The sequence below is a fragment of the Homo sapiens genome, chromosome 11 (genome assembly GCF_000001405.40).
Source record: "Homo sapiens chromosome 11, GRCh38.p14 Primary Assembly".
In the NCBI taxonomy this organism is placed as follows: Eukaryota; Metazoa; Chordata; class Mammalia; order Primates; family Hominidae; genus Homo; species Homo sapiens.
In genome coordinates, this window is record NC_000011.10 from 59846678 (window position 1) to 59872983 (window position 26306).

The following is a 26306-nucleotide window of genomic DNA, read 5'->3' on the forward strand; positions in this document are numbered from 1 at the left end:
TCATGCCCCTCGCCTGCTATAACTCATTGCCCTCTGTCGCACTAAGTGTGTGGTTGTTTATCGTTTGTTTATCTCCCTACTAGAATGTCTGCTCCACGAGGGAGGGGCTTTGTCTCTTTGGCTCACTGCTCTATCCTTAGCCCTTACAACACTACCTAGCTCACAGTAGAAATAAAATACTTTTTGAATGAGTGAATTAATGAGCAAATGTAAGACATGGGTAATAAAGCATTTTTTCCCCCTTGGGAAACATGGGTGAGTTTTGTGAGATGAGAGCACAGGGTACATACTGGGGTGTGCTGGACAACTTCTAACATGGCCCTGTGTTTTCACCTCCCGGTATTCATGCCTTGTGTAGTCCTCTTCCCTAGAGTGTGGGCTGGCCTGGGGCCACATTCTATTATAATGAATATAATGCAGCAAAGGTGATGGGATGTGGTTGCAAAAGACCGATTTCCCTCTTGCTTGCCTTCTCTCTCTTGCCCTTCCTGCTCTCATGAAGGCAGCTGCTAAGTGTGAGCTGCCTTATGGAGAAGCCCACATATGGCCCCTGAGAGTAGCCTCCAGCCGATATTCAGGGAGAAAAGAACCCTTCCCCAGTGAGCTTTGAGATGAAGGCAGCCCCAGCTGACATCTTGATTGCAGCCCTGGGAGAGACCCTCCTAAGCCAGAGGACCCATGTAAACCCTCCCTGGACTCCTGACCCACAGAAACTGTGGGATAATAAATGTTGTCTTAGGCCCCTAAGTTTTAAAGTCACTTGTTATGCAGCAATATATATCCAATACATGGTACATGGTGGAAGATGAGGCTGGAAAGACAGTTGGCATCTACTTGGTGGACAGCCTTGCATGCTGTGTGAAGGAGTAGGAGGCAGAATAATGGCACTGCCCACACACCGCCAAATGCCCATGCCCTAATCCCTGGAACTTGTGAACATGTTACGTGGGTTATATGGCCAGGAAGAATTAAAGATGCACATGGAATTAAGGTGGCTAATGAGCTGACTTTAAGAGAGGAAGGTTAGCTTGGATCATCTGGGTGGGCTCAATGTCATCACAGAGGTCCTTGTTAGTGGCAGAGGAAGGCAAGAGCGTTAGAATCAGAAAAGCAAATGTGATGTTAGAGGCAGAAGTCAGAATGATGCAATTGCTGGCTTTGTAGGTGGACAGGGGCCATGAGCCATGCAACGTGGGCAGCCTCCAGAAGCTGGAAAAGGCAAGGAAATGGATTCTTCTTCACAAGCTCTGTTACTAGGGGAGCCCTACGGAAATAGCTGGGAGGGCTTCTTATTTTCTTAAACTGTTGTTTTCCCTTAGCCTTTTTTTTTTTTTTAAGATTGTCCCTGTTCCTTTTTTTTCTTTTTTTTTTAATTATACTTTAAGTTTTAGGGTACATGTGCACAATGTGCAGGTTAGTTACATGTGTATACATGTGCCATGCTGGCGTGCTGCACCCGTTAACTCATCATTTAGCATTAGGTATATCTCCTAATGCTATCCCTCCCCCATCCCCCCACCCCACAACAGTCCCCAGAGTGTGATGTTCCCCTTCCTGTGTCCATGTGTTCTCATTGTTCAATTCCCATCTATGAGTGAGAACATGCGGTGTTTGGTTTTTTGTCCTTGCAATAGTTTACTGAGAATGATGATTTCCAATTTCATCCATGTGCCTACAAAGGACATGAACTCATCATTTTTTATGGCTGCATAGTATTCCATGGTGTATATGTGCCACATTTTCTTAATCCAGTCTATCATTGTTGGACACTTGGGTTGGTTCCAAGTCTTTGCTATTGTGAATAGTGCCACAATAAACATATGTGTGCATGTGTCTTTATAGCAGCATGATTTATAGTCCTTTGGGTATATACCCAGTAATGGGATGTCCCCTTAGCCTTTTTATCTATAGATGCCACTGCTTAAAGAGCTCCAGATGGCCCAGGATGCTTCAGGAGCTTCATGATCCCTTGCCAAATACCAGAGGAAGATAAGACCTGCACCAGACCGGTGCAAACCAGAACCGGCAACCCCTAGTTACTTTTAGATCATTAACATATCATTATAATACTAGATTCCTCTCCCTTAAAAGAAAATCGCTGCCATTTTGTGTACATGCGAGGTATGAAGAAGTATGTCTGGGGACTGCGCCTGCGTGTTTGGAACTCCACCCTCGGCCTGCTTACATACCTCCCTGCCCCATGTCTAACTCTTGAAAATTTCCCTGCTTCCCATTGCTTAAGGAGAATGCGCCTTTAGAGCGAGAGCTCCCCTTCTCCATTCCCTGGCCAGTGAATACGACCCAATTGCTTTTGTCCAATTGCATGTTCCTTCTTTGTGACCCATACAAAGTAGGGAAAGAACTTGGTTTACTGCTGCCACCTCTAGAAGGAACACAGCTCCTTCGACACCTTGATTTTAGCCCAGTGAGACTCTGACTTCCAGAACTGTGAGATGATAAATTTGTCTTAAATAACAAAATTAGTGGTAATCTGTTACAGCAACAATAAGAATCTAATACAGGATTATGAGTACAGTATGGTGCTGACTTTGCATTCCAGAGCCTGCTCCTGATCGTCCTGAGATGATCCACACACCCTTGGCCTGCCAGCTCTTTAACCACTCACTTCCTTGTATTATAAATTACCATTTACAACCAGGGCTGCTGCAAGATTGATCGTGACACAATTGTTGCAGTTAGTAAATAATTCCCAGAACAGGAACCACACAGGCCATACATTTCTTAACAGGGATATTTTGACAGTCCTTGGTTAACTATTGACTGGGATGATGTGTTCATTTATTTCCTTGTTTCTCCTGTGCCTAATATTTTGGTATCAAAGCACCTAGACTCTCTCTGGACATAAGTGAGGTTTATTTGTGGTGATTATTCTTTGCTGTGGCAGCAAAAGGAAGTTTCTCTCTTCAGACTCAGTTCAGGTTCTGTAATAGTCTCAAGCTGTAGGAGCTTCTTGTAAGGCAAGTGTGGCCAATTAGGTTTCTTATTTTTATTTTTATTTTTATGTTTTTCTGAGATGGAGTCTGGCTGTGTTGCCCAGGCTGGGGTACAATGGTGTGATCTCAGCTCACTGCAACCTCTGCCTCCCGGGTTCAAGTGATTCTCCTGCCTCAGCCTCCTGAGTAGCTGGGATTACAATTGCCTGCCAATATGCCCAGCTAATTTTTGTATTTTTAGTAGAGGTGGGGTTTCGCCATGTTGGCCAGGCTGGTCTCAAACTCTTAACCTCAGTTATCTGCCTGCCTTGGCCTCCCAAAGTACTGGGATTACAGGCATGAGCCACCACGCCTGTCCTCAGAACTAGGTTTCAAGGGCCGATGTTAGTGGAACCCTAAGGGAGTGTTATTTCATGTCTACTTCTGAGATTAAAGGCATTTATATCAGACAGCAATGTTACTTACTACATTATACTTTTTTTTTTTTTGAGACAGAGTCTAGCTCTGTTTCCCAGGCTGGAGTGCAGTGGCGCATTCTCGGCTCACTGCAGCCTCCGCCTCCCAGATTCAAGCGATTCTCCTGCCTTAGCCTCCCGAGTAGTTGGCACTACAGGCGCATGCCACCACACCTTGCTAATTTTTGCATTTTTAGTAGAGACGGGGTTTCACCATGTTGGCCAGGATAGTCTCGATCTCCTGACCTAGTGATCCACCTGCCTCAGCCTCCCAATGTGCTGGGATTACAGGCGTGAGCCACTGCGTCCGGCCTACATTATACTTTAAGACCTCTGGCTGGGAGAAACTAGGCTCTGTCTGTTAGAAATAAATGCTAGTAGTGCTAATTGCTAGTATGCAATTCTGACATTTTGCATATTTCTCACCTTAAACCAGTATCCTTCAATTTCACATAGCTTGTATAGGCTACAAACAGATCTGACGATTAACAGCACCAGGGATCCTGGAAGGGTAACATGGCTCCCAGCTTCTCTAATTTAGCTTTATTATTATTATTATTATTATTGTTATTATATTTTTAATTTTTGTGGGTACACAGTAGGTGTATATATTTTCTAACTTAGCTTTAAAGATGAGACACAGACCCAAGGGATAGAATCCATTTCTGTCCACTCATGAGGGTCATGTGTTACATCCAGTTAATGAAGACCAGGGCAGAGTTGAACCTGAGCATCGAGTATCAATAGCAGAAAGCAGTATGTTGGAAGAGGGTTCAATCTCTGACTGTGAAGCAGTGTCACTGGTGAAGGAGAGGAAGCTAGGATGATTGTGAAGAAAACACAGGAGAAATGAGGAAGACATTGTTAAAATAATTCACCTGGCTGGGCGTGGTGGCTCACGCCTGTAATCCCAGTGCTTTAGGAGGCCAAGGTGGGTGGATCACCTGAGGTTAAGAGTTCGAGACCAGCCTGGCCAACATGGAGAAACCCCACCTCTACTAAAAATACAAAATTAGCTGGGCATGGTGGTGCATGCCTGTAATCCCAGCTACTCAGGAGGCCAAGGCAGGAGAATCACTTGAACCCAGGAGGCGGAGGTTGCGATGAGCCGAGATCACACCATTGCACTCCAGCCTGGGCAACAAGAGCGAAACTCTGTCTAAAAAAAATAATAAAATAAATAATAATTCAACTAATTCTACCTGAAGGCATTTTTCTTTTAAAAATTACTTTATTTTAAACTTTAAGTTCAGGTATACATGTGCAGGTTTGTTGTGTAGGTAAACCCATGACATGGGGGTTTGTTTTACAGATTATTTCATCACCCAGGCATTAAGCCTAGTATCCATTCGTTATTTTTCCTGATCTTCGCCCTCCTCGCCACCCTCCACCCTCTCATAGGCCCCAGTGTGTGTTGTTCCCCTCTATGTGTCCATGTGTTCTCATCATTTAGTTCCCACTTATAAGTGAGAATATGCAGTTTCCTGTGTTAGTTTGCTAAGGATAATGGCCTCTGGCTCCATCCATGTTCCTGCAAAGGATATGATCTCATTTTTTATGGCTGCATAGTATTCCATAGTGTATATGTACTGTGTTTTCTTTAAAAGTCTATCATTGATGGACATTTAGGTTGATTCCATATTTTTGCTATTGTGAATAGTGCTGCAATACACATACACGCGGTTTATATTAGATTTAGATGTAGAATGATTTATAGTCCTTTGGGTATATACCCAGTAATGAGATTGCTGGGTTGAATGGTAGTTCTGTTTTTAGCTCTTTGAGCAATCTCCACACTGCTTTCCCCAGTGGTTGAACTAATTTACACTCCTACCAACAGTGTATGTGTTTCTTTTTCTCCATAACCTCACTAGCATCTGTTATTTTCTGACTTTTTAATAGTAGCCATTGTGACTGGTGTGGCATGGTGTCTCATTGTGGTTTTTATTTGCAGGAAATTACTTTAAATGGGTTACTTTACACTTTACATAAAGTACCTTTTGTCCTTTGGTATCTTAAGTGTCCTTCTAGTTTCTGACTGTACTGCATGTAGCCCAGGTACTCAGTATAAGTACAAGCTCATGCTGCCTTGATGTGATTCAACTTTTTTCCTTTAAGACGTGACTTCTTAGCATGACAAAAATTGATTAGAAAAATAAAAAAGGAAAAAAGTGAATTCTGTGGAAATGAACATGATAAGTGACTTTTTTGCATATGTATTTTGATGACATGAATATTGGGGTGATTTTATGGGGAAATAAAGGGAAAATAAATGTAAGAGAAGAATAAGTGGGACCCAAGGGAGACATCTGGAGGCAGGGGATGAGATTGTTTCTCAAACTACGGGCAGACCTTTTATGTATATGCCTCACGTTTCCCCCTTTCTTCTGAGCAACATGTTTTTTTTACCCACTACCTGTATGAAATCAGTGTGACCAATGGGCTCCTCTCTTGCATCTGGGCCTCAGAGAGCTCAGTCTTTCACAGACTTTCTGCTTGATCTCATTGGTTGTTGCTGCAACATTAGACCTAGAACCTTATCCCCATTTTACCCAGTTGCCCAATGCCACTGAGATAGTTAGTAGGAGAACCTTGAGTAGAACCCCGCTTATTAGACATGTGGTCTCATTTCTTTTCACTTCAGTTTTTCCTTAGGTGGACTTTCCTCTAATACATTTTAAAATCCTTTCAGAATGAACTAATTAGAACATGCTCTTTTTGTATAGTTGTTAATCTTTCAACAACTTTTATTGAACATGTAGAGAGAGAAGGGGAGGTTATTAACTCTCCTGCTCGTACTGGGATAAATGAAGAAGAAGGCATAAGGACAATAAACATGGAACTCCACTGCAAATGGATTTTATGCAGCTGAGGAAAGTTTGGGCTTATTAGTATTTGCTCCAGCGAACCTCCAAGTTTTCTCCATTGCGGACAACGTAACTACCAGCTCCTGAAAAGGAAGAAGAAAGAGAACTGGGTCAAATGATTTGGCCACTAAATCACCAAATAATGGATGTCATCTCTACTAACCCCTTGGCCCAATCCCCACAGAGGCTCACACCCCTCTCCATTTGGGCATTTTTAGCATGGGTCTTTTTGGCATGTCTCTCCCTTACCTTGGCTCAGTGGTTCGCCTCCACTCAGAAGTTCCCAGTAGGTTCTGTCATTATTGTTGGCACATAGGCCCTGAATACAGGTGATATAGGGCCCCCATGAGCGCTCCTCCATTGTGAAACTGTGGGTGACAGCAAGTAGGTTACTGGAACTTAGAATTGTCAAAGGAAACCAACAATAGGCATTTCTCAAACTTTAATGTACCTGAGAATCACTTGATGACATTATAAAAATGCAGATTTCCTGGCCCTATCCATAGATATTTTTATTTTTAGATATGAGCTGGGGATCAGGAATCTGCATGCTTTATAAACACTCCAGCTGATTCTAATGCAGGCACTCCACACTCCATGCTAAATTAGAGAAATGATGCTCATGGTTTCTGCTCTCCCCACCTGCCATGGTAGATAGGTTTCAGATAACAGCTTCAACCTTCCACCCCAAGATAGTAACTGCTAAAGATACTGATTCAGTAGAAGAACATATGATCCTCATGTGCTAGAGACACCATAAGTTACTGAGTTTTCCCTTAGAAAAGAGGAACAGGAAAGGATAATTTGATATTTCATATTGTGTTTATTAAAAAGTGACAGGTCAGTATCTGTTTTATATTCCGTAGTCATTTTTCTACCTCCCTTAAAGCCCTTGAGGGTAGCCTTTATAATGTATATTATATTATTATTCTGATTTTCTTTATAGCATCCTACACTGTGTTGTTAGATATGATAAATAACTGTCAACTAGAGTTAAGGAGCCAAATAAGTCATACTTTTCAGAGGCAAAGCCATTATTTTAATTTTAATACTTGACCTCCTTGACCAGTTACTTTAGTTTGGGGATCTATGAGTTTTCTGAAAGCGAGGGCAGGGAGAAGCTTCAGGGTATCTGTGAAACCCTCAGTTGAAATGCTAAATTTGGCAGTGGCTCATGCCTGTAATCCCAGCACTTTGGGAGGCTGAGGTGGGCAGATCTCTTGAGCCCAGGAATTCAAGACCAGCCTGTGCAACATAGTAAGATGCTGTCTGTAAAATAAATAAATAAACAAATGCCAATTTTTGTGTGTATGTTCATTTTTTTCCTGGATGAACATTCATTACATTCACTTGATTTTCAAAGGGGTCCGTGATTCAAAAAGAGTTAAGAACCACTGTTCTAGATCTCAAATGTTTGACTTTAGAAGTTACATTTATTGCAAGAATTTTACTGAAATAAGAGAGAGCCCTGAGATTCATTAATTTATTTAGCGAACATTAATTTACTACCTATTATGTGCAAGAAGATGAAATACCTCACCTCCTATTTTAAACTCCTGCTGTGAGATGTAGATGGACAGCAAAGCTACTGACCCAGAAGCATTTTAAATATACTTTGTATTTAGGTGCAAATGCATTCTTACTGCATCTTTAGAAATGACAGCAAACATCTTAACCTTAGGTTAGGTACAGACCTACCCAAATATAGTATCATTCATTTTCTGGGCTTTCTCCATCACACTGAGGAAGACAGAACCATTTAGCACAGTGACATTGGTGAAATATGTTTCATTGATTCTCACAGAGTAATTGACGGAGATATATGATTGTGAGTCAGGAGGTGTCACAGTTATAGGCTCATCAGCGGAGATGTTGAAGTTACCTGGCAGAGACAGAAAAGCCCAGAGCAATATTCAGAAAAATAAAAATGATATTAGAGTTTGCAGACCTACTCAACCCCTATCCAAGGACTCCTTGCCTTTATGCAGACACGGATTTACTATAAGGAGCAATTATCATCACTCAAGGGGCAAATTTCTCATATAACTAAAGCAGAAACTAAGACCCAAACTCACCAGCTTGTGAATGTTGGCACTTGGCTCAACTCCCAGCTGTTTAAGCAATTCAGTTGCTCTAACTTCTGTTTCTCACAGAGGATCCTGATTTTTTTTTTCTTTTTTTGCCTTGGTACAGCATACAATAATGCTTGTCTTTTCTCCTTTTTATTGCTTAACGTTTATTGAAAACATATGAATTGCCAGGCACTATACTAATCATTTTACATGGATTGTCTCATTCAATCTTTACAAAAACCTATGTTAGGTACTGTCCTTGTTCCCAACTTTTACATTAGAAAACTGAAGCTTAGAGGTTAAACATTTTGTCCAAGTTTCCTAAACCTGTGAGTGGCTGAACCAGGAATGGACAGAGATATAAGACAATGTCTCCTTTCCTTCTACCTGGTTGCAAGGTCATTTTTTGAATAAGTAATGCATGCTACAATTTTTGAATACTGGCATATCACTTCCACACAGATGTCTCATTTCCCTAAGGGATCACTCACTGTGCAAAGTCAGAGTCACGGTACCAATACTCCATACTTTATTTAGGATGAGAATGATGCTCAGATCCTTCTATATCCAACAGTCAGAAAATACACCTTTGGAGATAGACATTATTTAATCAGGTCTGCCTTGTTAATGTTTGAACTAAGAGGGACATCTAGCACTCAGTTAAGAACAAATCCTCAGGTGACTGTAAACCCTGGTAACATGAGGAAAACTGAATTCTCTCTGGCAACTGTTATGTTTTGGAGGTTTATCTGGTCACTTTTGGTTTCAAAGGACACCTGAATCTCACATGCTTTGGGTGCTATGGTGAAAAGCGAAACAGTGTGCTCTCTTTAATGCTTATACCTGAAGCAGAGACGCAAGAAGAGTCTTTGTTAATATCCAAGAAGGTCTTTCCCATCAGGGCAGGTAAGACCTGGGCTGCAGCGTTTGGATTGCTGAATGCTCCTTGAGAAATTTCCGTGAGCACTGTATTCAGAGTTTGTTGGCAATTCCAGTCATTTTCATTATAATAGTCTGATGATACAAAGAGGGCCTAATGAGGCAGGGTGGGGTGGGGGGGTGATGAGAGATAAAGAGAGACAGAGAGAGAATATGAGACACTTCAAATAAGGGGGAAGCCTTATCTATAACTATATATGTAACTAATTCAGTATTAATTGAACATTGACTACCTAGGAAGCACCTCAGATAACTCAGTTATCTTTCTTGTTATCCAGAAGCTTATAAACTAGTTTGGGCAGGGAGGTTGGAACTGCTTAATAACACAAGCTATAATAGTTCCAATGAAGGCAGACTTTGCCACATTCATTTCTGTATCCCAGTGCTGGGAAATACCTGTCATATAGGAGACACTCAATAAATATTAACAAACTACTGTAAAAGGAGTTGCCAGAGGAATGCCCTAAGGGATGCATCTAGTGGGATGCCTCTTTCAAAAGAGGAGAGGAGCTCACAAACATTTAATGAAGCTAAAAAAAAAAAAGCTTCCTGGAGAAGGTGGTATTTGAGTTAGGCCTTGGAGAGTAGGATAGAGCACTCAAGAGGAACAACATGAACAAAGGTGTTAGGTAGGAATGGCCAGGACATGACCTGGCAATGATGACAGTATCTGCATTTTAGCAAAGTTCCTCAGGGGATTCCTCCTGGTTTAGGAGAACTGATGTATGGGGAACATTGGAGGCAACTGTGGAAAAACAGGCTGGAGAAGGAAGTTGGGCTAGACTAGTAGATGCTTGAATTTTATGATGAGATGTCTGACCTCATTTGATTGACAACGATGAGGAGGTGTCTGACATTATTTGATTGACAATGGGGAGTCTAATTGTTCATTAAACAGAAACTCTCCTGGCAGCAGAATGTAAGCTTGATTGAAGGGGCAGAATTGTGAGGTAGTAAAAGTTAGGAGGGCATTGGGGTAAGCAAGACAGGAACTAAGGTGGGTCGGACTTGAACATGCTGCTCTGTAGTTTCCCAGGGATGGACAGTTCCTGTTTTCATCTTTTCTTGGAGGTTCTTAAGCTAACCAAGTTGTCCACAAGCATTTGTGGGATATTAAGAAAAAAGAAAAACTGGTCATAGTACATTTCCTCTTAAGACACGTCAATAAATGTTATTCACATACATAACAATAAATTAAATGTTATTAATATTTAAAAATACCCAACAATGTGTTGTAGGCAATTAGCTCTTGATCCTACTGTGAATTTGTATCACCTGTAGGGCTTTTAAACCAGAGCAAGGCCCAGGCTCCACCTCTAAATTTCTGTACTACCTGGCTGGTGTGGGCCTGGGTATTAGTGTTTTCTAAGAGCTCCTTCAGGTGATTCAAATATGCAATGAAAATGGGAAAGCAGTTTATATTCAGTTCAAACTTAGTAAGGCAATCAACAACATAAATAGTAACAACAACAATACAGATAACCTTATGACTGGACCCGTGCTTACACCTCCAGCCTCCTGTTATGTTTCCCAAGGACTCTGTGCTGGTCATGCCGAACACCTTGACCTTAAAATGCCTAACATTCTTTTGTGCTTTTGGGTCTTTGTCCTCACTGTCGTCTCTCCCTTGAAAGTCCTCTAGCCCTGAGTCAGCCTGGAAAATATCTATTCATACTGATGATGCAGTAAAGTTTTTTTTTTTTCTGTAAACCTTCCTTGATCGCTTCTTATATCATCCCCTTAGAGTTTGTAAATCAATGGCTGAATGAATGCAGGAATAAAGTCTCAGACCTCAAAGAGCATATGCACGACAGTGTAGGTGCTGAGTGTGAGTTTTGAGAACAACAGCCCAGGTCCCATCCCAATCTACACCACTTTCTGGTTTTGTGAGATTAGTTAGATTACTGACACAGTTACTGTGACTCATGCTCCTAGTTTAGGAAATGGAGGTGATGGGGTAGTTTGCTCTTATCAGCGGGGGATACATTCCAAGACCTACAGTGGATGCCTGAAACCATGGATAGTACTGAGCCTTAAATATACTATGTTTTTTCCCTATACATCCACTCCTATAATAAAGTTCAGTTTATAAATTAGGCACAGTAGGAGATTAACAACAGCAATAATCAAATAGAACAATTATAATAATATATTACAGCACCATTGCTCTTGTGCTTTGGGGCCATTATTAAGTAAATACGGGTTACTTGAACACATGCACTTCAATGTTGGGACAGTTGATCTGATAACCGGCTACTAAGTGATTAACAAGCATAGACAAAGGGATGAGTCACTTCCTGGGTGGAACAGAGCGGGAAGGTGCAAGATTTTATCACACTACTCAGAATTATGCACAATTTAAAACTTATGCGTTATTTCTGAAATTTTCCATTTAATATTTTCAAGCCTCAGTTGACCTTGGGTGACTGAAACTGTGGAAAGTGAAATTGTGGATAATGGGGGGACTACTGTGTGTGTGAAAGTGTAAACTACGTGTGATAGAACAAGAAAGCAGATTGTAGTAGACTCTAGAGTTTCTTAGAGAAATTGTAGTTAGGAAAAGCTTCCTAGAAGCATTGGCTATGGGGAAGTAAAGCTGAAGATGAGAAGAGTACATGTCAGGGAGGGGAAGGGAATCGTATGAGCAAAATCAAAGTTAGTATAGGAACCGCAGAATGTATAATAAGGTCTTAGGAGGCCAATAAGAAAGGAAAAAGATACTGGCTGGGCGCAGTGGCCCACACCTGTAATCCCAGCACTTTGGGAGGCCAAGGTGAGTGGATCACCTGAGGTCAGGAGTTCGAGACCGGCCTGGCCAACATGGTGAAACTCTGTCTCTACTAAAAATAGAAAAAATTAGCCGGGCGTGGTGGTGGATGCCTGTAATCCCAGCTACTCAGGAGGCTGAGGCAGGTGTAATCCCAGCTACTCAGGAGGCTGAGGCAGGAGAATCGCTTGAACTCGGGAGGCGGAGGTCGCAGTGAGCTGAGCTCGCACCATTGCAACTCCAGCCTGGGCAACAAGAGCGAAGCTCCATCTTAAAAAAAAAAAAATACTGCTTTCTTCCAGAGAAGACTCCCTTCTCTGCCTCCTGTTTCACCCTCTGACTTACCTGCATGGCTTCTCCTGTGCTAAATGTGTTTCCAATGAGACCATTTTCTTTTTTCTCAGACAGAATCTTTTCTACCAGTGACTTTGTATAAATACTGATGTTCTTTAAACTGCCTTCATCTGCTTTGATCTGCCCATTTATTAGACTCTTCTTCACACAGGTCAGAGCCAGGACAGCCATTGCACCAGTATCTGTCAGGAAACAAAACATTGTTGATAGGCGACCAACCACCTCAGTTTGTCCTGGGCCGAGAGGTTTCCTGGGATGTGAGACTTTCAGTGCTAAAAGAAAAACAGATCTAGAAAAACTGGGATGGTTGGTCATGCTAATTGGTGAAGAAAGATTTCAAGATACAGCAATCATCTCTCCAGCACTAACCACTCAAATATTTAAAGATTTCTTCCCAATGTTCAGTTGCCATGTACTCCATAGTTCATACCTCATACTGTAGTGCGATGGGTCTCCCACTTAAGGTTACTTAAGGGAGATGCACCTCACTAGTGGCCACCATGGCCAGTTTATTTTTCCCAGTGATAATGTACTCTGGCCACCTTTAGCTCATATACTAGCATTGTATATTTTGGTACTTATGACACTGTGTCCTGTGTTGTTCAGCTATTTCTGCTATAGTTCATCTTGACTTAAAGCCAAGCTCCTGGAGGTTTAGAGAGTGGTGTCTTGTATGTGTGTGTATGTGTGTCTGCAATCATATGTAAAGAAGTACTTAACATAGGGTCAATGCTCAGCTGAACATATTTAAAAAGAAAATTCAAGATGCATGCTGAAAGAGAAAAAGGGAAGTGCCCTGCAAAGATATGTCTGCTGCCTGAACTGTCTGAAGCCCAGGCCATGGAGCCCAGCTGAGGAACAGGTGTCTTTGAGAATCCAAACATCCTGGAAAGCATCTAAGAACTTGCCAAGGAAAAGAGACCCATCACACACACATAGCAGGTAAAAAGCCAGGAAATTAGCTTAAAAGCAGTTTAGGGTGGGATGTAGCACGAATCTCTAAAGCTCTCTTGCTGCTGTCTGGAGTGTTTTTTGTTTGTTTGTTTTTTGTTTTTTGGTTTTTTTTGAGACGGAGTCTCGCTCTTGCTGCCCAGGCTGGAGTGCTGTGGTCCGATCTCCCTGCGAACTCTGCCTCCTGGGTTCTAGTGATTCTCCTGCCTCAGCCTCCTGAGTAGCTGGGATTACAGGAGTGAGCCACCACGCCCAGCTAATTTTGTATTTTTAGTAGAGACGGGGTTTCACCATGTTGGCGAGGCTGGTCTTGAACTCCCGACCTCAGGTGATCCACCCGCCTCGGCCTCCCAAAGTGCTGGGATAACAGGTGTGAGCCACTGCACCCTGCCTTTTTTTTTTTTTAAATACAATTCTGGGTTTCTTTTTTTACACATATTTTGGTCATAAAACACCTATGGATTTGTAGGTGCATACACATGGACAGTATTTCACTTTTACATCTTGGTTGCTCTCATCTTTTCCATCTTTCTCTAATCTTTTAGCCATGTTGGCTGAGGGATTGAGAAAACCTAAGAGGCTGAATCAAATAAACTGTCTTTGTAAGGCTCTCAAGGGTTTCATTAGACTGATTAGAAAATAGTACTTTACAGAGTTGTTGCCCAGTAAACCTCTTTACAAAAGAGGATGAGGCAAGAGACTGGAAGAAGGAAAGATAAGGACACGTTTTCTGGCTTGATACTTGGTGTCTCCTGTGTTCTTTAGCATGGGACCTTTCCTCTCTCATGGGAAAAGAAGTCTGAGAAATCTCACATTCTCCTTACTATCCAGAAATACTACATGGTGATTTGCTTTGAACTTCAATTTGAACTTTGAATTTGGAGAAAGATGAACTTGTATATCTGGATCCATAGAGGCTAAGCACCTATACTAACTGTCTAAAGACTTCTTTATGGATATTAAGGCTGACACAGTGGGAAATTTCTGGTTCATTTCCCAAGGTGAATATACAATCTATTGATTAAAATATTGGACTTTGTCACTGGAGAGGTGGTATTGTTCAAGACTCTCGAGGTATCCAAATTGTCCCAATAAACTAGAGAAAGAGACAGTGTTAAGATAAACGAATTCCATTGCATTTCCCTTTTCTAAAACTTACCCTTTCTAAAATATTTCATGTGGATATTCTCATGCCTTATCCTCATCTTACAAATGGAAAAATTAAGATCAAGAGTTAACATTCATTGTTTATATAACCCAAAGAAGAGCTGGAGCAGAAACCGGGTATTTCTACTATACCACACATCTAGAAAGAAGCTTAAATGCCATCCATCATCCATTCTTCTCAAAAAGAAAATTCCCTTTTGAGGGGACTAGAGCAAAGAGGGTAGAAAATAAAATCCAGGTACTTACTGGTAGAAAAACTCAAAGAGCAAGACCTACTGGTGACCATGTCCTCTGTACCAAGGGAATTGGGCTTAGTAACTCACCTACTGAGAACTGGCTACCAAAATAATAGTTTTTATTTTCAGGAGTGAAGTGGTTGACAACTTCGGCGGTTGAGTAGTTCCCATTGAACAGACACAAGGCCAAAACGTCCAGGCTGAGCTGGTAGTAGTTAGTCAGGGGAGTGCCATTGTGTGCTTCTAGAAAAGAGAAGAAATACCTCCCTTAATCATGGAAGTGGTAATGGCGTATGCATTTTCCATCTATTCCTACTTACTCTATTTTAATTTCTTTACATTTAAGGAAAGGTGGCTAATAGAAGGGGGAGGTCACCCATAGAATCAGAAAACCTGAGAAATGTGAGGGCTTTTAAGGGCCACTAAATTCCGCTCAATTTCTTTCATTTTATAACTGAGGGGACACAGTCTTAAAGAGATTAAGATGCTATCTAGATATTCAGATGGTTACAGAGTTAGGGCCAGAATACAGGTTTTCAACCTCCAAGCCTCTTGCGTTTTCAATAGTAAGGTGTTGAAACTGTAAGTAGAAACCTAGGTTAGAGGCCATCTCAAAGGAAAATGGACTTACTGAAAAATAGAATAAATATTGGGTGGGAACTGAAATAAAAACAGTGCACCTCACTAGTGGCCACCATGGCCGGTTGATTTTTCCCAGTGATAATGTACTCTGGCCACCTTTAGCTCATATACTAGCATTGTATATTTTGGTACTTATGACACTGTATCCTGTATTGTTCAGCTATTTCTGGTGTAATTCATCATTTGACTTAAAGCCAAGCTCCTGGACGATTAGAGAATGGTGACTTGTGTGTGTGCATGTGTGTGTGTGTGTGTATGTGTGTGTGTGTTTCTGCCATCATATGTAAAGTAGTACTTGACATAGGGTCAATGCTCAGCTGAACATATTTAAAAAGAAAATTCAAGATGCATACTGAAAGAGAAAAAGGGAAGTGCCCTCAAAGACATAGTGAGATGAACGGGATGAAGAGAAGGAAAGAGTGGAGGGAAACTTCATATAGTTTTGAATCAGTGGAGGAGAAGACAAGGTAGTCTAGGGTCTCTAAATATTTAATTCTTACCCATATTTTCAATTTCTGCTTGGAATTTATTTTCTAGCTTGTCGATCAGGTGGTAATCATATATTAAGTTTTCCTCAGCGTTACGACATACTCCCAAAGCCAGTATAATCAAGGCAAGCTCTCCCGAGCTTACATCTGACACTGAAAAGAAAAGTATTCAAGCTTAATAAGGTACAGGCTTGTGATTTTTTGGGCCTCCTGATTTCCTTGAGACTTATATTGCCTATCACTTTTTTCTTCTGTTGCGCTCTATACAGTCTTGTGTCGCTTAATGATAGGGATAAATTCTGAGAAACTGGTTGTTAAGCGATTTTGTCATTGTGCAAACATCACAGAGTGTACTTACACAACCTAGATGGTATAGTTGACTACACACCTAGGCTATAGGGTACAGCTTGTTGCTCTCAGGCTAAAAACCAGTATAGCATGTTACTGTCCTGAATACTATAGGCAATTGTAGCCCAATAGTATTTGTGTATCTAAACATATCCAAGCACAGAAAAGGTACAATAAAAATACACTATTAAAATCTTGTGGGACCACCGTCATATATATTCATCATTATGTGATGCATTCCTGTATGAATATTTGATTCCTCTCTTCTTTATCCTCAAAGCAGAGCCTTTTAGAGCAGTACTGTATAAATGCAAACTAAATCTTTGTCTTTTCCATAAAAATCACAGAATCGTTTTGGAATCATACAATCCTTATGAAAGTGAAAAAGAGGAAAAATAGATAAACAACAAGATCTTGGGTTTTTTTTTCTTTGTGGTACCAGCTTGCTAGGATAGTAATTCTTGATTTTTAATGTTCTGCCTTTTAGAGTATCCAAACTCTCAGGATTCTCATAATTCTTATAATAATATTATGAGGTAGGTAAGAGTGGCTTCTTTTCCCCTTATACTAATTAGAAAACTGAGGCTCAGTATTAACATGACTGGTTCAAGGCCCACCCATACCTAGTTCAAATCTGGGTTGTTCCATGGTTGCCTTTCCATCACCAGCTTTCTTAGTTATGATCTGTATTCCCATGTGGTTGTGAACTAAGCTAGCTTATATAACAGCATTAATGGATAAAAATCCATAGCTTTTGTTTGTGGCTTCTTGAAGAAAAGTGGTTTTTAAGACCAAAAGAAGCAAGACCTAGCTCTAGGGTGAATGGCATGGGATTGTATTTTGGGCATGTTTCTGTTACCTCAAGTTTGGTACCATTAGAAGGGATGTAGCAGGGATACTTTGGATGCATAATTTTTTAGGATTAGTTGCAGATAATCTTTAAATAGGTAGATTTTTTTCTAAATCTTCCAGAATATACAGCAACTTACATCTGCTTTTCACATTGTATTTGATTTGTTGGATCATCTTTTGCATCAGGGTTTGGATCTGGATTCCAACAAGTTTGAGGGACAACACAACATTGACAGCGCTGGTTCCCCTGTTATAGTTTGACTGGATCATTGTATTCAACAGAGGTTTTAGGCGGATGTAGTTTTCTTCACTTACCTCTGTGGCAGAGAAGGAAGGAAATAAGAAACACATACTCAGAAAATAGTAAGACTTGCAGCAGGGGTTATATAAAAATATTTAGTAACAGATATGGCACAGACCTAGACCAATCCAGTGGCTGCAGACTGTGTTGGTGGAATAATACAAAGGTGGGTCTTGAACCCACCCCCATGCCAGACATTACTCCTTTAACAACCAACATGAAAATGTTTTAATATTTTAACAACTGGTGCAGACTTATCATTGTGTACTGGCAGACTCCTGCCTGGGAAATCTAGCATCATTCCCTAATTTTGTATATGAAGCTTAGATAGATTGTCCTTAAAGAAACTTCCATAATTGGAGGCTGAGCTGAAACTAGACTACATGTCTTCTGACTCTCAGTAAGCAGGACTTTCTACTTCCTGGATTCAGTTCTTTCCTTCTCCATCTTCTAAATCAACTGGGTTAATGTTGAGAAAATGCAGGTAATAATTCTGTGTTATACTGGTGATTGACCCCAAAACTTCATTGTCTGATTACCCAGCTGGCTGGGCATCGAGATCATTATTTAGCATTATGCAGCCTGTAAAAAACTCTCCAGTTTTAGCCTACAATATGCCCCAATTCCAGAGATGGAGGGAAGTCACATTATACTGTGGAAGTAGGAAAATCCATAGCTCCCAAGGAAATAGAGGAGAATAAAAAGATTTACTATTTATTTAAACACAGGACACTTTGTCAATGTATTTTTCCATAATCTTGAGGAGTAGCCCCAAATCCTACATATCTCCAGATTATCTAATGGATTAGTGGGAGAGTGAGAAGAACATGAGGTTTGGATTCAGATTTTGGCCACATTTTGTGCTCCTTAACTTATGACTGTGGATAATAACTTATGTAACTTGTTTTACTCTTAGTTTTCTCATTTAAAAATTGTGGCTGTTAACACTTACCTTACAGATATTGGACAAGAAACCACCGAATAAACTGTAAAATGCTGCACATACTATTATTTCCAGCTCAACTGGAGTTTTTATCACTATACTTGAGAATCAAGGAAATGTAATTTCTCTTGCCCAGTTTTCTTTACTTTAAAAGAATGAGTCAAGAAGATCTGAATAGAGTGATTGTAGAAAGGTCATGGTTTGTTGCAGACACAATGGAACAATTGTGAGTCAGTTCTCTGAGATTTTGTGGAACCATCCAGCTCAGCAGATTTTCTGGCCCTGAAACAGACTTTTTAGTTCCTGATCAACAACTCAAATCAGCTTCCTTGAGTCTCAAAGATAAATTTAATTATTATCATTATTATTTAAAATGAATTGAAAGCTAAAACCTACATAGCCATTCCCTATTCTTAGGATCCAACAGGGGAAATGTCAAGCCAAGAAGAAAAATCAGAGTCAGAAGAGTCTATGCTTTAGCCTGTATGTATACAAGCCTGTCTTCTGTGGTGTTCTCTTCTTACTGGTTAGAGAGCACAGATAGTACCACCTAGTAATCTTTGGACTGGTTTGAAGCTCAATTTCAGAGTAAAGTCTCACAAAAGAGAATTCATGCACTTGAGAACTGCACCAGACTTCATGAGATAATTTGCTTCAATAGTCTCCCCTCATTATCCTTTATTTATGAATGAAGCTAAAGAAATTCAGAAATGTTGGGTCATTCAATAACTAAGGGATCAAACTAAACCTGAATTTAGTTTTCCCTTCTCTTACTTTAAAGTTCTTTTACAGAACCACACAATCTCTGGGGTCAACACCCATGCAAGAGATGATGGAACTTTATCCCATGTGTCCTGGGAAAGAGTTGAAGGAAGGTGGACATGCAACTTGGAACATCTAAACTCACTCATGACAAGACAGCAGTCATCACTATTTGAAAGAGATTATTATTTTTTTCTATGTAGTTACAAGGGGTTAACCCAAAAATCATGCATTGAATTTCAGGGAAAAAAGATTGCATATCAAGACCAAAAGATAACTTTCCATGATCTAGAAAAGTTTCTGGGAGCATAAATTTTCTGTCATTGAAAAGTCACATGAATAGGGAGTTACTTGGTAGGGATGCTGTGCTAGAGAGGATCTGAGCATAGAAAGAGCAGTTAGGCAAGTGAATACACAATCTATAATTCCTCTTACAACAACATGCATTGTGAGACTTTCCTCACCATCTCCTGCCACCCTTTTCATCATTCATGGAGTCCAACCACATACGAAACTGGAATGGGATCTTTTCTCAGGTAACTCTACATAGAGTCTCTTGTCAACAGTTTTCAGTAGACTATCACTCTAGAGTAATTTTAGCTCAAAGTTTACTCACCACAAATCTCGCATAGTTGGCTTGGAATAAAAGAAAACAGTAAGAGCCCCACTAGGGGCAGCTGGTGTGACTGTCTCATCTCTCCAACAGTGTACCAGAATGTTGATGAATTGGCTGGCTATTTATTAAGTGATGGGCAGAAGGTAATGAGAGCTCCTCCTTCAGGTTGCCTCAGCCTCTTTTCACTCAAGCAAATATTGAGCAATGTCAGGAGGTGTGGTCAAGTGTATTTGTCCATGTGATGTAATAAATAAGGAAGAAGACTTGAAGGATGTGGTTAGGGAGAATAAGGCAATAACTTTCCTTTGTCTCCTGTCCTAAACCTTCGGGTTTCATATCTATTATTTGCCTTCCGTGCAGTGAAGATATATTAGGCAAATGACTGTTTCCTATAATCTTTCCTTTTTTTTCCGTTTCACTTTATGTTTTATGTTTCCTGATAAAGTAGATTTGATCATGCAAACACATACAACATATAAAAATGGAAGTAAAAGAAGACATCCAAATGGGAAGCAGGCATATGAAAAAGTGCTTGAAAAGGTGCTTAACATCATTGATCATCAGATAAATGGAAATCAAAGCTACAATGAGATATCCTCTCATCTCAGCTAAAAATGGCTTTATTCAAAACACAGGCAATAACAAATGCTGGCACGGATGTAGAGAAAAGGGAAGCCTTGTACACTGTTGGTGGGAATGTAAATTAGTACAATCACTATGGAGAACAGTTTGGAGCTTCCTCAAAAAACTAAACATAGAGCTACCATATGATCCAGCAATCCCACTGCTGGCTATATACCCAAAAGAAAGAAGACCAGTATATTGAAGAGATATCTGCACTCCCATGTTTGTTGCAGCACTGTTTACAATAACCAAGATTTGGAAGCAAGCTAAGTGTCTATCAACAGATAAATGAACACAGCAAATGTACATATACACAATGGAGTACTATTCAGCCATATAAAAGAATGAAATCCTGTCAGTTGTGACAAAATGGATGGAACTGGAGATAATTATGTTAAGTGAAATAAGCCAGGCACAGAAAGACATACATTGCATGTTCTCACTTATTTGTGGGATCTAAAAATCAAAACAATTGAATTCATAGAGATAGAGAATGAAAAGATGGTTACTGGGGGCTGGGAAGGCTAGTGGTGGGAAGGAGATGCGGAGGGTTAATGGGTACAAAATATTGGAAAGAATGAATAAGACCTACTATTGGTAGCATAACAGGGTGACTATAGTCAATAATAATTTAATTGTACATTTTAAATAACTAATAGTATAACTGGATTGTTTGTAACGTAAAGGATAAATGCTTGACAGGATGAATACCCCCTTCTCTATGATGTGATTATTACGCATTGCATGCCTGTATCAAAACATTTCATGAGCCCCATAAATATATACACCTACTATGTACCTACAAAAATTGAAATAAAAAAATTTAAAAACGGAAGTAAAAGTTGTAAGTCTGAAATTGAAGCAGGCAGTATTGGAGAACCCAGCACATGAGGGGATCTTTGGCATAGTGGTTTCCAAACTATGATTTTTCTCCTAAGATAGATTCCATGAGAGTTTCCTAACCAAGGAGGAAAACCAGAGAGCTATACATCAAATGTGAATTTCTGCCCTGCCAGGGCAGTTGCTACATGTGAGAAGTGTTGCCTATCACAGTTCTTCTGAGAACTATTAGAGAATACTGTCAGCCTAGCTAAGGATGTCATGACTTAATGAGCCACTATTTGCATTGTACCTCTGTGATGGTTAATTTTCTGTGTCAACTTGACTGGCACCTGAGTGCCCAGATTAAACACTATTTCTCGATGTATCTGTGAGGGTGTTTCCAGATAGGATTAGCATTTTAATTGGTGGACTCTGGAAAGTAGAATGCCGTCTCCAATGTAGGTGTGCATCAATCAATCTATTGAGACCCTGAATAGAATAAAATGGTGAAGGAAGGGGGAATTCACCCTTTTTTTGCTTCCTGCCAGCCTGTTTGAGCTAGGACATCTTATCTTCTCCAGCCCTCAAACTGAGATTTACACCATCGGCTCCCCTGGTTCTTGGGCTTTCAGTTTGGCCTGAATCACTCCACTGACTTTTACTGCATGCAGACAGTAGACTGTGGGACTTCTTAGCCTCCATAAGGGCATGAATCAACTCCTTGGAATAAATCTCTTTCTCTCTCTCACATATTTATATAAAACTTATGTGGAAACCACCATTCTACTCTCTGTTTCCATGTATTTGATAATTTTTAGAATCTACATATAAATGAGATCATAGTATTTGTCTGTGACTTATTTCATTTAGCATGATATTCTTCAGGTTCATCCATGCTGTCTCAAAGGGCACTATTTCCTTCTTTTTTATGGCTGAATACTATTCTATTATATAAATATAAATATATATATACACACACACACATATATGTGTGTGTGTATATAAATCACAATTTTTATCCCTTCATCCATCAACAGATATGTAGGTTGTTTCTATGTCTTTGATATTGTGAATAATGCTGCAATGAACATGGGAGTACATATTTTATATAATATATATTTTTGTTTGTTTGTTTGTTTGTTTGTTTGTTTTTGAGACAGAGTTTCTCTCTTGTCGCCCAAGCTGGAGTGCAATGGTGCAATCTCAGCTCACTGGAAACTCCACCTCCCGGGTCCAAGTGATTTTCCTGCCTCAGCCTCCAGAGTAGCTGGGATTACAGGTATCTGCCACCACACCGGCTAACTTTTCTATTTTTTTTTAGTAGAGACAGGGTTTCAACATGTTGATCAGGCTGGTCTTAAACTCCTGACCTCAGGTGATCCACCCACCTCAGCCTCCCAAAGTGCTGCGATTACAGGCGTGAGCCACCGTGCCCATTCGGGAGTACATATATTTCTTTGAAACACTGCTTTTGCTTCCTTTGGATATGTACCCAGAATTAAGATTGTTGGATCATATTGCAGTTCCATTTATAATTTTTTGAAGAACCACCACACTGTCTTCCATAATGGTTGTGCAAATTTACATTCTGCAAACACAAAGGATTCTCTTTTCTCTACATCCTCATCCATACTTTGTTATCTTTTGTCTTTTTGATAATAGTCACCCTAACAGGTATAAGGTGATGTGATTATTCTGATTTGAATTTCTCTGATGATTAGTGATATTGTGCATGTTTTCTCATGCCTGTTTGCCATTTTTATGTCTTCTTTGGAAAATGTTGAGGTCCTTAGCCCATTTTAAAATCAGGTTATTTGTTTTGTTTTTGTTTTCATTTTGCTATTGAATTGCATGGTTCTTACATATTTTGGATATTAATCTATTTTCAGATATAGGTTCGCAAATATTTTCTCAAATATTCCACAGCAACTTGGATGGAGCTGGAGGCAATTATTCTAAGCAACACAGGAGTAGAAAACCAAAAAAAATATTTTCTCACTTATTATTAACATTATTTCATTCCTTTTAATGGCTCAGTAGTAGAATTCTTCTATACCCAATTTGTTGAGAGTTTTTTTTTATCATGAAAGGATGCTAAATTTTTTTGATTGATTTTTTTTTTTTTGCTTTTTTTTTAATGTGCTGTTGAATTTGGTTTGCTAGTATTTTGTTGAGGATTTTTGCATCTATGTTTATTATGGGTATTGGCCTGTGATTTTTTTTTTTTTTTTGGTAGTGTCCTTATCTGGCTTTGGTATTAGGGTAATACTCATCTTGTAAAATGAGTTTGGAAATATTCTTTCTACAATATTTTGGGACAGTTTGTGAGGAATTGCCATTAATTCTTCTTTAGGTATTTGGTTGAATTCACCAGTGAAACATCTGGTCCTAGGCTTTTCTTTGTAGGGAGGTTTTTGATTGCTGATTCAGTCCCCTTATTTATATTTTTGGTCTGTTCAGATTTTCTATGTCTTCATGATTCATTGTTGGCACATTGTGTGTTTCTAGGAATTTATGCATTTCTTCTAGGTTATCCCATTTGCTGGCATATAATTGTTCATAGTAGTCTCTTATGATTCTTTGTATTTCTGTGATAGCAGTTGTAATGTCTTCACTTCTTTCATTTATAATTTTACTTATTTGAGTTTTCTCTCTTTTTTCTTGGTTAGTCTAGCTAAAGGTTTGTCGATTTTTTTTTATCTTTTCCGAAAACCAACTTTTAGTTTTGTTGATCTTTTCCATTGTTTTTCTATTCTCTATTTTATTTGTTTCTGCTTTGATCTTTGTTGTTTCCTTCTTTCTGATAACTTTGGGTTTAGATTATTCTTTTTCTAGTTCCTTAATGTTTAAACTTAGTTTGTTCATTTGAAATCTTTATTTTTCCTTAATCTAGACATTTATAACTATGAATTTTCCTCTCAGTACTGCTTTTGCTGTATCCTATATGTTTTCAGATATTGAGTTTACCTTTTCATTTGTCTCAAGATACTTTTTACTTCCTCATTAATTTCCTCTTTGGCTCCTTGATTGTTCAGGAGTGAATTATCTAATTTCCATGTATTTGTAAATGTTCCAATTTTTCTCACATTATTGATTTCCAGTTTCATACCATTGGGGTCAGAAAAGATACTTGATATAATTTCAATATTCTTAAATTTGTTAACACTTATTTTGTGACTTAATGTGATCTATCCTGGAGAATGTTTTATATGTGCTTGAGAAGAATGTGTACTCCCCTGCTGTTGGATGGAATGTTCTGTATATGTCTGTTAGGTCCATTTGGTCTAAGTATTGTTCAAATATGGTAGTTCCTTATTGATTTTCTGTCTGGATTATCTATCCATTGTTGAGTGTGGGGTATTAAAGTCACCTCTGTTACTGTTTTGCTGTTTATTTTTCACATTAGTTCTGTTAATATTTGCTTTAAGCACCCAATGTTGGGTACATAAATATTTATAATTTTTATATCTTTTTGATGAATTGGCTCCTTTATCATTATATAATGATTTTCTTTGTCTCTTGTAACAATTTATTTGTCTCTTGTAACCTCGGCCTCCCAAAGTGTAGGGATTACAAGCATGAGGCACCACGCCTGGCCAAGAATCTTGTCTTTTATTCATGCAACCACTCTGTCTTTTGATTGGAGAATTTAATCCATTTAAGTTTCAAGTAATTTTGATAAGTTAGGACTTACCATTGCCATTTTGTGAATTGTTTTCTAACTGTTTTATAGTTCTTTTTTCCTTTTTTTCTTCTATTGCTTTCTTTGTGATTTGATGACTTTGTAGTTGTATGCTTCAATTCCTTTCTCTTGAAGTTTTGTGTATCTATTACATATTTTTCTAAAACTTGTTTTTAACAAGTCATTTCTACTTTGCTGCTTCCAACAGTGATTCTAAATTCTCATTTTACTTGAACTGATAGTTGATTACTCTCTTTTTCTTACTTCATTTGGCTGGAACACCATCCTTTTCTGGAGTTTTTCTACTTTTCTGACTCTTCCTTTTTGGCCTTTTCTTGCTACTTTCTCCTAATATATTTGACTTCTAAATGTTGCAATCTTCTAGGGTTCAGTGTCTAAAACTCTTCATTCTCCTATGTTGCTCTCATTTAATCCCAAGGCTTTAAATGACACCTATATGCTAGTGTTTCTAAAATTTATATCTTCATATAGAACATCTTTCTAAATTTAGATTTAAATTGAGGCCTGGTCATGTGACTGTCTTGGGTCAAGATGTAGTTAGCAAATATGAAAGAGGTAGTTAGCAAATATGAAATAGGTGGAAATTTAAAAATTCCTTCTGCTTTGGGTTTTGTGTTTTGAATTCTGTGATCCACAATGTGTATAAAACTGAGCTCATGTTCTAGTTGTTATAGCTGTGACCTTCTAGAAAGGTCATATAGAGGAGAACTGAAACATGCCAGCTGTAGGCTGCCAACTACCTGACATTGAATGAAATGCCTTTAGATTATTTAGCTTTAGTTGAGCTACCAGATGACTAAAGTCACATGAATAACACTGGCCAAGACCAGTAGAAGTGCCTAGCTAAAGCTAGCCCAAGCTACTACACATAGATTTGTGAGAAAAAGATTGTTTTAAGCCACTAAGTCTTGGGGTAGTTATTTATGTGGCAGTAGAAAAATAATACACTATACTTAGAATTTTTTCCAGTTATATAGTTCAAGCAATATTTTAATCAGCTGACCATCTATTTCATTCCCCGTTACCTCATGTTTTGTTGGATGATGTCATAAATCACTGTGGATCAAAGCACTTCTATTGTCACTCTGATTCTGTAGACAGCTATGGTAATTTCTACAACTTGTCTTTGATGATTAGGTACTGCCATCTAATTTTGGCTAATCTGGAATCACATTATAGTGACTGAGATAATTTCAATGGCTAAATCTTTCACTGTCAATCCCAACAACTTCCCTTTACTAATTCATATGTTAATGTCTAGTTAAGGTTGTATTCTCTGGGCTTTCCAGGAAAGAAAGAGGCCAGGTGAGCTGGAACAGATTTTGTACTTGTCTCCCTGGGGCATAATGGGATCCAATCCTAATGATGGTTCTAGAGGCAATTTAATATTGTACATAGTAAATCTCCTTCTAAATTCTTATCTCTCTTAGCCTTTGGCCACAA

General features: G+C 39.3%; 1 protein-coding gene across 1 annotated transcript; it reads right to left on the bottom strand.

The window, feature by feature from the left end:
* On the bottom strand, nt 6131-19810 carry TCN1 (transcobalamin 1). Its single transcript, NM_001062.4, has 9 exons — nt 19715-19810; nt 17230-17409; nt 15905-16045; nt 14850-15005; nt 12400-12590; nt 9192-9381; nt 7975-8158; nt 6526-6644; nt 6131-6359 (listed from the first exon to the last, which is right to left on the bottom strand). Exons 1-9 carry the CDS (start codon nt 19791-19793, stop codon nt 6298-6300), a joined length of 1302 nt encoding a protein of 433 aa, NP_001053.2. The 5' UTR covers nt 19794-19810; the 3' UTR covers nt 6131-6297.